Genomic DNA, 12,124 nt, shown 5'->3' on the forward strand with positions numbered 1-12,124 from the left:
CTCCAGGGCGCCCAGTCCCATCGACCACCCAAGGGCTGAGGAGTGCGAGCGCACGGCGCGGGACTGGCAGGCAGCTCCACCTGCAGCCCCGGTGCGGGATCCACTGGGTGAAGCCAGCTGGGCTTCTGAGTCTGGTGGGGACGTGGAGAACCTTTGTGTCTAGCTCAAGGATTGTGAACGCACCAATCAGCGCCCTGTCAAAACAGACCACTTGGCTCTACCAATCAGCAGGACATAGGTAGGGCCAGATAAGAGAATAAAAGCAGGCTGCCCGAGCCAGCAGTGGCAACCCGCTCAGGCCCCCTTCCACATTGTGGAAGCTTTGTTCTTTCACTCTTTGCAATAAATCTTGCTGCTGCTCACTCTTTAGGTTCACACTGCTTTTATGAGCTGTAACACTCACCGCGAAAGTCTGCAGCTTCACTCCTGAGCCAGCGAGACCACGAACCCACCAGAAGGAAGAAACTCCGAACACATCTGAACATCAGAAAGAACAAACTCCAGACGCGCCACCTTAAGAGCTGTAACACTCACCGCGAGGGTCCGCGGCTTCATTCTTGAAGTCAGTGAGACCAAGAACCCACCAATTCCGGACACACCATTGTCTGAGTAAGTTTGGGTGCCAGGACTATGAGGTCGTGTGAAGACTTCCAGCCCCATACCTGCAGAACAGTCTGCAGCTCACTCTGCTCTGAACTGCCCCAACTTTGCACAGATATTCTCCATTCCTCGAAATGAAACTGTATCCTTCAAAGCTCACACATTTCGCTTATTGGCTCAGCGTAGGGAGCAAGTTCTCTAGATAGCTTACTACCAAATAAAATGGTGGAGAAGGGAACCCAGGCAGCTGGGCACAAAAAAGGAATGAGCAACAAGCTTCCTCTCTGAACATGATTTTCTGTGTAAGGTCTTGGACACTCCCTCGACTGCTTCCAGCCATCTGCCTCATGCTAGGTTTCTAGTTAATGTGGAATGAAAACTCTCACATCTTCCTTCTAGATGTAGCTGTGGTAATTGCAACTTAGGCAGTTGTGCTTGAGAATCTTCTTCTTAATACCACATGGCAAGGTCATTCCCCAATGCTTTTATTTACCTTCACTTGAATTTTTATATTAAACATTGGATTGAACAAGAACGGAGAAGAGAATCACAATTATTGTGTAGATGCTACATTGTAGTTACATTTTCTCTTGTAATTATTACAGTGCTGGGACTATTCGAGCTTTAAAATCCTTTCTGAAGATCCTAAAGCTACTCAGTGGTTCTGCTGGCATTAGGGGTTGATATGGTTTGGGTCTGTCTGTGTCCCTTCCCAAATCTCATGTTGAATTGTAATCCCCAATGCTGGATGTGGCGCCTGGTGGGAGGTGTTTGGATCATGGGGGCGGATCCCTCATGGCTTGATGTGGTCTTCGTGTTAGTGAGTTCTTGCAAGATATGGTTATTTAAAACTGTGTAGCACCTGACCCTCTCTCTCTTGCTCCTGCTTTTGCCAAGTGATGTGCCCGCTCCCACTTTGCCTTCTAACACGAGTAAAAGCTCCCTGAGGCCTCCCCAGAACCAGATGCCACTATGCTTCCTGTACAGCCTGCAGAACCGTGATCCAGTTAAACCTCTTTTGTTTACAAATTACCCAGTCTCAGGTATTTCCTTTTTTTTTTTTTTTTTTTTTGGTCTTAAACTCCAAGCCTCAAGCAATTCTCCCACCTTGGCATCCTAAAATGCTGGGATTACAGGCATGAGCCACCATACCCAGCCAGGTATTTCTTTATAGCAACACAAGAGTGGCCTAATACAGAGGGATATTGCCAATGATTTAATAGTAGTCTTCTTTTCTGTATGTCACTCTGCTTGACTAACCTTAAACAGTCTCTTTAAATAATTTGTAAGATTCACCTAACTACACTTTTCATATTGTCCTTCAATCCTTGCACTTATGGCATAAACATGTTTTATGATTATTATATAGGTATTTAAATAATGCATATGGGTCCTATATTTCTCTATCAATGTTATAATTTTTACCAGCTACATAATTTTGAATCACATGTATATACCATCATTTACCTTCCATCCATCCAAAAGATACGAGAAGGGGAAAGAAAAGAATAAAAGGTAAGTGCTAATAGATAATCCGAATAGGCCTATATCTATTAAATCGATTGAAACAATAATTAATAACCTTCCAAAACAGAAAGCCAAGACCCCAATTGGTTCACTGATTAATTCTACTAGACTTTTTTTTTTTTGAGGGGGTGGCAAAAGAGCTTTATTTACACACTGGCACAAGGCCCGCCGGGTGTCAGCTGAAGAAGTAGGTGGAACGCTTCACCAGCTCCAGGTCGAAGGCCCCTGGCTTGGGCACCACCTGCAGTGTCTCCTTCATCTGGCTGGCCTCCAAGATCTTCTGGGGCTCAGAGCAGAACCGCCTGACCAGGAACCTGGACAGGTCCTGCAGGATGGACTCGCTGTGCAAGCAAACTGCTCCCGGCACACCTGGTTCATGATGGAGACATCAGCTGCATGGGTCCGGTAACAGTCGTGCACAGAGACGAAGGTCAGGCCCTTCCTGTAGCAGTGCAGGGTGGTGAGCATCATGTGTGAGGAGTCCAGCGAGTGGATGAAGTTGGGCCGGAAGCCGTTCTTCTGCTTAGGTGTGTTGGGCTTCCGGCTGATGTCTCTGTTGTGGGTGTAAGTGATGCTCTGAATTCCACCTCCTGATTGCTTGACCTTGGACTCCAGGCGATACGGCTGGATGATGGGGACGCCCAGGGGGGTGACCCACTCCACCACAGAGCCCGTGTGGGAGACGAGGTGGGCGCTCTCGATCAGCCAGTGCTGGATGGCCCGGGTCCCCGAGAACATCTCCTGTAGACTCCTGAAGACCTGGCGTACGAGGTAGTGGGAGGCCTCCCACACGAACTCCTGGGGAAAGTCGTTCAGCTCCCGGAGGCGCTTCTCAATCTGCAGGCGCCCACCGTAGCGGGTGACCCCGTACACCACGGTCATCACTGTCTGCTTCACCACCTTGCGGGTGATGAAGGCTTCCAGCACCTGTGCCACCCGCATGCCCCGCTGGGCGTCCTGCCTACGGAACACCTCCACCTGCGCGGCCACGCCGCTGTACACGTCCTGCGGCACATCCGAGGGCTCCAGGTTGACTGAGGCGGCGCCCACGCTGTCGCGGCCCAGGGCAGCATAATGCTGTAGGCCGTTGCATCTACTAAACATTTAAGGAAGGAATTATACCAATTTTCTTCCATGTCTTTTGAAAGACAGAAGCAGAGGAAATATTGCCTAATTCATTTTATGAGGCCAGCATTATACCTAATGGCAAATACAGACAAAGACATGACAAGAAATGAAAAGAGAAAGAAGAAAAGAAGAAAGAAACAAAAAAACTATACAGATTAATATTGCTCACAAACCTAGATGCAAAATCCTCAAGAAAATATCAAATCAAATCCAACAATGTATAAAAATAATTACATATGTTAACAGGGGTGAGATGACATCTTATCATGGTTTTGACTTGCATTTCCTAGATGATTAGTGATGTTGACCATTTTTTAATGTATGTGTTTGCCATTTGTATCTCCTCTTTTGAGAAATGTCTATTCAGATAGTTTGCCTATTTTTTAAAAGGATTATTTTGAGGTGGTTTTTTTTTTTGCTATTCAGTTGTTTAAGTTCCTTATGTATTCTAATTACTAATCCCTTGTCAGATGGATGATTTGCAAATATTTTTTCTCATTCTGTAGGTTGTCTCTTCACTTTGTTGATTTGTTTCTTTGCTGTGCAGAAGCTTTTTGGTTTCGTATGACCCCGTTTGTCTATTTGCTTTTGTTGCCTGTGCTTTTGAGGTCTTACCAAAAAAAAAATCCTTGCCCAGACCAATGTCCTGAGGTGTCTCCCAGATGTTTTCTTCTACTGGTTCAAAGTGTCGTGTCTTGCATTTAAGTCTGTAATCTATTGTGATTGTTAATATTGAGTGTCAACTTGATTGGATTGAAGGATGCAAAGTATTTTTCCTGGGTGTGTCTGTGAGGGTGTTGTCAAAGGAGATTAACATTTGAGTCAGTGGACTGGGAAAGGCAGACCCACCCTCAATCTGGGTGGGCACAATCTAATCAGCTGCCAGTGCAGCCAGAAAAAAAGCAGGCAGAAAAACGTGAAGAGACTAGACTGGCTTATCGTCCCAGCCTACATCTTTCTCCCTCGCTGGTTGCTTTCTGCCCTTGAACATCAAACTCCAAATTCCTCATCTTTGAGACTTGGACTAGTTTCCTTGCTCCTCACCTTGCAGACAGCCTACTGTGGGACCTCACCTTGAGATTGTGTGAGTCAATATTCCTTAATAAACCCCCCTTTATATGTACATCTATCCTACTAGTCTGTTGCTCTAAAGACCACTGACTAATACAGATTTTGGCACCAGGAGTGGGGTTCATACATCTATCCTATTAGTTCTGTCCCTCTAGAGAACCCTGACTAATACAGATTTTGGTACCAGAAGTGGGATTCATACATCTATCCTACTAATTCTGTCCCTCTAGAGAACCCTAACTAATACATCTATCTTGATTTGATTTTTGAATAGGATGAAAGAGAGGGGTCTAGTTTCTTCTTCTAAATATGAAGATCCAGTTTTTTCAGCACCATTTATTGAAGAGACTGTTTTTTTCTAACTGAATGGTCTTTGCACTTTTGTCAAAAATTAGTTGGCTCTAAATTCATGGATTTATTTCTGGGTTCTCTGTTCTGTTCCATTGGTCTATGCATCTCTTTTTATACCAGTACTATATGGTTTTGGCTATAGCATTGTAGTATAATTTGAAGTTGGCAGTGTAATATCTCCATCTAAGTTCTTTTTTCTCAGGACAGCTTTGGCTATTTGGGGTCTTCTGTGATACCACACGAATTTTAGAATTTTTTTGTATTTTTATGAAGAATCTCATTGGTATTCTCATAGGAATTGCATTCTATCTCTATATTGCTTTTAGTAGTAGAGTCATTTTTGCAATATTATTTCTTCCAATCCATGAACATGGGAAGATGTTCCATTTTTGAGGGACCTTTTCCATTTCTTTCATCAGTGTTTTATAGCATTTCTTGCAGAGAACTTTCAACTACTTGGTTAAATTTATTCCTAAATATTATATATGCACCTATTGTAAATGGCATTGCTTTCTTTTTCTTTTTCTGCTAGCTCATCATTTGTGTATGGGAACACTAGTGATTTTTGTATGCTGATTTTGAATCCTGCTGCTTTATTGAATTTGTTTACCAGTTCTAAGACAGTTTTGGTGGAGCTTTTAGGGTTTTCTATGCACATATTATGTCATCTTCAAACAGGGAAAATTTGACATCCTTGCCCTTTATTTCTTTCTCTTGCCTGATTTCTCTGGCCAAGACTTCCAGCACTATGCTGAATAAAAGTGGTGAAGGTGGGCATACTTGTTTTGTTCCAGTTCTTAGAGGAAAAGCTTTCAGTGTTTCCCCATTTTGTATGATGGTGGCTGTGGATTTTTCATGCCTATCCTTTATTTTGTTAGGTATACTTGTTCTATATATTTATTTTGTTATGTATGCTTGTTCTATACCTACTTTGTTTAGTGTTTTTTATCATGAAGAAATGTTGAATTTTATCAAATGCTTTTCCTGCATTTATTGAGATGATTATATGGTTTTTGCTATTCACTCTGTTGCTCTTCAATAAATATGATGTGATGTCATTTTTTTTATTTGAATATGTCAAAACATCCTTGCATCCCTGGGATAAATCTCAATTGATCATAGTAAATTATCTTTGTAGTGTGCTGGTGGATTTGATTTCCTAGTATGTCATTGAGAATTATTGCACTTCTATTCATCAGCGATATTGGTCTGCTGTTTTCATTTCTTCTTGTGTCCCATTCTGGTTTTGGTATAAGGGTAATGCTGCCTTCATAGAATGAATTAAGAAGAACTCTCTTTTCTTTGATTTTTTGGAACAGTTTGAAAAGAATGGGTATTAAGTATTTTTTTTAATGTTTGGTAGAATTCAGCATTGAAGCCATCAGGTCCTGGGCTTTTCTTTGATGAGAGAGTTTTTATTACTGGTTATATTTCATTACTTGTAATTAGTCTGTTTAGACTCTCTATTTCTTTTTGGTTCAATCTTGATAGGTTGTATGTGCCTGAGAAATTATACATTTTTACTAGGCTTTCCAATTTGTTGACTCATGGTTGATTGTAATAGACTCCAATGATTCTTTGTATTTCTGTGGTATCAATTGTCATGTCTCCTTTTTCATGTCTGATTTCATTTATTTGAGTCTTTCTTTTTTCTTACTTTGTTTAGCTAAACATTTGTTAATTTTGTTTATTTTTTTACAAACAAAACTCTTTGTTTTATTGATCTTTTGTATTTTATTTTTACTTTCAATTTCATTTATTTTTGCTCTGATCTTCATTAGTTCATTTTTCCTACTAATTTTGAGTTTGGTTTGCTTTTGTTTTTCTTGTTCCTTGAGGTGCATCATTAGATTGTTTATTTGAAATATTTCTACTTTTTTCGATGTAGGTGTTTATTGCTATAAAATTCCTTCTTAATACTGCTTTTGCTGTATCCCATAGCTTTTGATACATTGTGTTTATACTTTCATGTGATTCAAGAAATTTTAAATGTACTTCCTAATTTTTTATTAATCCATTGGTTGTTCAAGAGCATGTTGTTAATTTTGATGTATTTGTACAGTTTTGAAAGTTATTTCTGTTATTGATTTCTAGCTTTATTTCCTTGCCGTCAGAAAGTATACTTGATGTGATTTCAGTACTTTTAAACTTGTTGAGACTTGCTTTGTAGCCCAATGTGTGGTCTCTCCAGGAGATTTTTCCATGTGCTAATGAAAAAAAATGTGTATTCTGCAGCTGTTGCATGAACTATTCTGTCAATGTCTGTTAAGTCTATTTGGTCTAAAGTGAAATTTAAATACAATGTATCTTTGTTGACTTCCTGTCTAGATGATCTGTCCAGTATTGAGATTGGGTTATTGAAGTCTGCAACTATTATTGTATGGGAGTCTATCTCTCCCTTTAGATCTAATAATAATTGTTTTCTGTAGCTAGGTGCTCCAGTTTTGGGTGCATATATATTTACTATTGTTATATGCTCTTGCTGAATTTATCCCTTGTCTGTTTTATTTTTATCTGATATAAACATAGCTACTCCTATTTGATTTTGGTTCCCACTTGGGTAGAATGTCTTTTTCCATCCCTTCACTTTCAGTCTATATGTTTTTTGATAGGTAAAGTGAGTTTCTTATGGGAAGCACATAGTTGGGTCATTTAAAAAATCCATTCAGCCAGTCTATATATTTTAAGTGGGGGATTTAATCTGTTTACATTCAAAGTTATTATAGGTAAGAACCTTCTTCTGTCATTTTATTCATTGTTTGCTAGTTGTTTTGTATATCTTTTATTCCTCTCTTCCTCTCTTATTGTTTACGATTGTGGTTTTGGTAGTTTTCTGTAGTAATAAGGTTTGATTCTTTTCTCTTATGTGTATCTGCTTTGCCAGTGGATTTTATACTTTTGCATGTTGTCATGATGGTAATGATCCTCTTTTCACTTCCAGATGCAGGACTCCCTTGAACATTTCTTGTAAGACAAAAAGCTCAATATTGTCAGGATGTCAGTTCTTCCCAACTAAATCTATAGATTCAGTGAAATCACAATGAAAATATCAGAAAGGTTTTGGGTTTTTTTTTTACAATTTAAATTTTTACTAGAGAAAGATATTATTCACATCCACAATTTCTTAAAGTCCTTTATAAATGAGTGTATTCCATAAGAAATACACTAAAATCATTACTTATGTTTCATAGAGGGAAAAAACTATGAGAATACTATTAACCCAAACTATATCCATATTATACTTATTTCTTAAGCATTTACATGTTCAAATACGCTTGTTGGATAGTGATCATTCATCCCCACAGTGGTAAATTTCAGCATAATATTAAGTGACTGAGAGAGACTAAAGTAGTCACATGTAGATTAGATAAACAGATACTTATTCTGTTATACCTAAGCTTACTTATAAAGCAACATAAAATGAGCATTGGATAACAATGAAAACAAATGTAAACAAACAGAATTAAATGTTACTCCCTTCCCTGAAAAACAACAGATAAAAGGGCTTCTTGCTTTATTGAATACAAAACATGATCTATTGTAATAAAAAGGTAAGACATTGATTTTACAAAATTATATTTCCAAATACAGATAAAAAAATCTTGAACAGTTAATTCAGATTTTATTGATCTAAAATGTGCAAAATATCTGATAATACTTAAGTTTATTAAATTCATTGTACATAGGCTGATATCATCCCATACAAAAAAATGCTCAGTATCTTGTTAAGATTCAAAATAGTGTTTAATTATCTGAGCTTAAGATTTATTGAACTACTATCCAAATAACAACAAAAGTCCATATTGTAAAAGAAAAAAGTAAAACTAAAAATTTTCTGATTATTAATTGACTTGAAATTCATTCCCATTAAAACATAAAACTATAGCCAATATCCATTTGCAAAGTGAAGAAAAACTGGAAGTCCCCATGATAAATACACCAATTCCAAATAAAAAATTAAAATCAAATTTTGCTATTACAAAACACACATGATCTTTTAAGTTATTCAGGTTTAATAGATTTACTAAGGATAGAGTTCATAGAGCATGTATTTGGTACTTCTGTTTAGACTCAGGTATTTGCAAAGTACCCCAAGAGAAGGTTGAGAAGGTAAAATAAACATAAAATTGTGATACTTCTCTCCACACCACAACAAAGGTGCTTGGATTTAAAAATTCAATTTGTAACTCTAGAAGAAAAAGAGAAACAATTTACAACTCCAAAATATTTTCCAGAAAAATGACAAAACTGGTAACTACCTAGAAATGTTATTAGTGAATCAAAGTGCAAGTAATGACAGCATTAACATCAAATGTATTTGAAGACTCAAAGTTTTAAATGTTTTCAATGACAACTAGTTGATTTTTCTAAGGTGGTAGGTGTGAAATAAAGATAATACAAATCTAATTTTTCCAGGAACTATAGCACTGCCCGTCCCCATGAAATTAAATTATAATTTCACTGTTCAACATAATATAAAACTGTTTTGAGTAACAGTGAAATAGAAGCATGAATTTAGATACACACCAGCCCTATATGATGGACTTATTCACACATAGTATTTTTGATAACAACCTAATTAGATACTGTCTTTCATTGCTTACTATAATTCTGAGAAACCACTTTTAACAGTATACATTTACACTACCACTTAACTAAATGGGGACATATAAATATATAAATTTTTAAAGAAAAAAATTCCAGTTATTTAGAGGAGAAATAAAACTTCAATTATTTACTTTTTTGAAACTGCATTTAGATAAAAAGGTATATGGTTTATGATACTTTTCACAATGTAATAAATTTATATTCCAATTTTCTCATAAACGAGAGGTTGTAAAGCAAAATATTTGTTCCTTGAAAATAACCTCTCTCTTCTAACCCTGGTAAGAACAATGAGTGTGCCCTTAATTTCAAGACTCTTGTTGTCATCCATGTCAATTGTCTTTTTCATGAAGTATAATATTTTGAGAGAGAGAGAGAGTTGTAAAAATTAAAGAGAAAACCTGCTTTTGGAATGCAGCAATTCTAAATCATTTCACTAAGAAGCATCCTTTGATATGCTGGTCTGAATTTTTAATATAAAACCTAAGCAGTACTTATTTCTGAAGTAGAACTTTCTCCAGTTTTAATAACTTCATACATAGCAAGACTAAGGACATCAACCTGTGCTTTTGAGATTTTGGTAGGTGTTCTAATAATGTATTATTTTAGATATGGCTCATTGTCAAATTGGGTGGACAGAGATTTCATGAATTGGTTACAGAAAGCTAACTAAACTCTTAATGACTGAATAATGGTTTGCATTTTGCTTGAGCCAAAAAAGATGTTTAAGCCATGTACCACTACATTCCCTGCTTAACATTCCTAAGTTTCTTTATTCTTCATAGTTTTCTAATGAACATATATTTTCCTGAGTAAGATTATAAAAAAGTTAACCTTTCTTCCAAAAGTATAAAGACAAATAAAATGTCGACTCACAATACATATTTTTTGCATAGCATTAAAGGTGCGGAGATATTGCCTGCTCCTCTTCATTATGATTGGCCCACCTCTTAAAAAGACTGCAACAGGCCGGGCGCGGTGGCTCACACCTGTAATCCCAGCACTTTGGGAGGCCGAGGCGGGCGGATCACGAGGTCAGGAGATCGAGACCATCCTGCGTAACACGGTGAAACCCCGTCTCTACTGAAAAATACAAAAAATTAGCCGGGCGCGGTGGCAGGCGCCTGTAGTCCCAGCTACTCGGGAGGCTGAGGCAGGAGAATGGCCTGAACCCGGGAGGCAGAGCTTGCAGGGAGCCGAGATCGCGCCACTGCACTCCAGCCTGGGCAACAGAGACTCCGTCTCAAAAAAAAAAAAAAAATACTGCAACAGATGATTCAATTGTCTAAAATACTTCGAAGTACAGAAATTAAATGCTTTAGCCCATAAACATATCCCTTATCTACTGTGTTGCTAAGGAACATATCAGCCATATCTATCATGCACACTTCAGCAGTCTCTTGGCAACCAGTGGGAAGATGGTAGACAACTTTTTCCAGTTGGGAAAGTACATTTCCATTTAAATGTTCCTGTGACATGCTTTTCCACCCATTGTCTTGCTCTAGATTTTCAACTTTCAATGAAGTCTGACTGTGATACTTTTTTGTATACATTTTCCTGTGATGGGCATACATCTTGGACAAGCTTTTGCCTACTGAAGCCTCTATTTTTCCATTCACTGTGGAAGTTAATACATGAAAGTTATTATTGCACTCTAGTACTTCTGTGTCTGACAGTTGTCCTTTGGACAAAAACTTTTCTGCCAAATTTCTGTCATTCAGTTTTGTAGTGATTGGCTGAGATGAACCTTCCTAAAGAAACAGTAATGAACTTGCGTAAAAGTTAAGCTGCTTCTGGTTTTCAAACCACTGCAGAATTTTCTCAGTCTTCTGAATAATGGCAGCAACAGCATCTTTTATTAAGCAGTACCCATTATGAAAAAATCCGAAGACTCCATCCTTTATAGCTTCTTTTGTTAAGCTTCTTCCATAATGTTGGTTTGTGTCTCATAGCTATGGGAATGAACAAGATAAACCCTCATGCCAAGCACCAAGAACCCAATCTCTTCCATTAATGGGTCCTTGCTGACCTATTGCTGAATTTTCTCAGATGAGGCAAAAAGGATCATAGCTTTTTTGCCCTGTCTTTACATCCATTATACAGGGCTTATTAAATTTATGGGTCACATTTTCCAGTTTTAGGTATAAATCGTTTGGGGCAGCGGGAGGTGGCCAGATGCCATAATATTTTGGCAAATATTGTCGTAGCTCTAGAAGAACACCATCGGTACAGTCAGCAGCATAAACCATATTATAGAATTCCAGCTCTCTTGGGCCCCTTGGAGGTGGTTGTAACTGTTTCAAAACTGTGCCATCTGGATGTTGCAGTATACCCATTTTGTCCTTCCCATACCTGTGCCCGGCCACCTGATGCAAGATGGGCACACAGCCACTGAGGAAGCGGAGTCTGCCGCCTGCCGGCTGCAGGGTGCCCTTAGGGGTGGCCTCGATCGCCGGTGGGGTCCGCATTTCTGGGGGACCCGGCGCCTCGACCCGGAGCGGGGATGGTGGCTCTCTTGCCATAACGGAGAACAGAAGCGGTAGGGTCAGCAAGAGCAGGAAAAGAAAAATAGGGGGAGGGAGGGGGCGCCGGAGAACCCAGGGGTCGCTCAGGCTCGGGCGCGAGGAGGCCCGGGGGTTCCCGCGGCTGGTGCCCGCTGAGGTGAGGGGAGGGGGCCCATGACGCCGCGGCGGCGCGGGCACTCCCTCTGCCCAACTCTCGGCTGAGCGCGGCTCCCGGCTCAGGCCCCTCTGCCGCCGCAGCCGCGGGCCCAGTAGACACAACCCAGCCGAGGAGCAGCAGCAGCAGCAGCGGCGCCCCGCGCTCCCTGGGGCCCTCCAGA

At 39.5% G+C, this 12,124-nt stretch overlaps 3 pseudogenes; 1 reads left to right on the forward strand and 2 right to left on the reverse strand.

Annotated features, from left to right (window-relative positions):
- Nucleotides 2,252-3,219, reverse strand: LOC100421620 (RNA polymerase mitochondrial pseudogene; annotated as a pseudogene).
- On the forward strand, nucleotides 2,252-3,219 carry LOC89844 (RNA polymerase mitochondrial pseudogene; annotated as a pseudogene).
- LOC729654 (inositol polyphosphate multikinase pseudogene) lies at nucleotides 7,747-12,077 on the reverse strand (annotated as a pseudogene).

The sequence above is a fragment of the Homo sapiens genome, chromosome 19, assembly GCF_000001405.40.
Source record: "Homo sapiens chromosome 19, GRCh38.p14 Primary Assembly".
In the NCBI taxonomy this organism is placed as follows: Eukaryota; Metazoa; Chordata; class Mammalia; order Primates; family Hominidae; genus Homo; species Homo sapiens.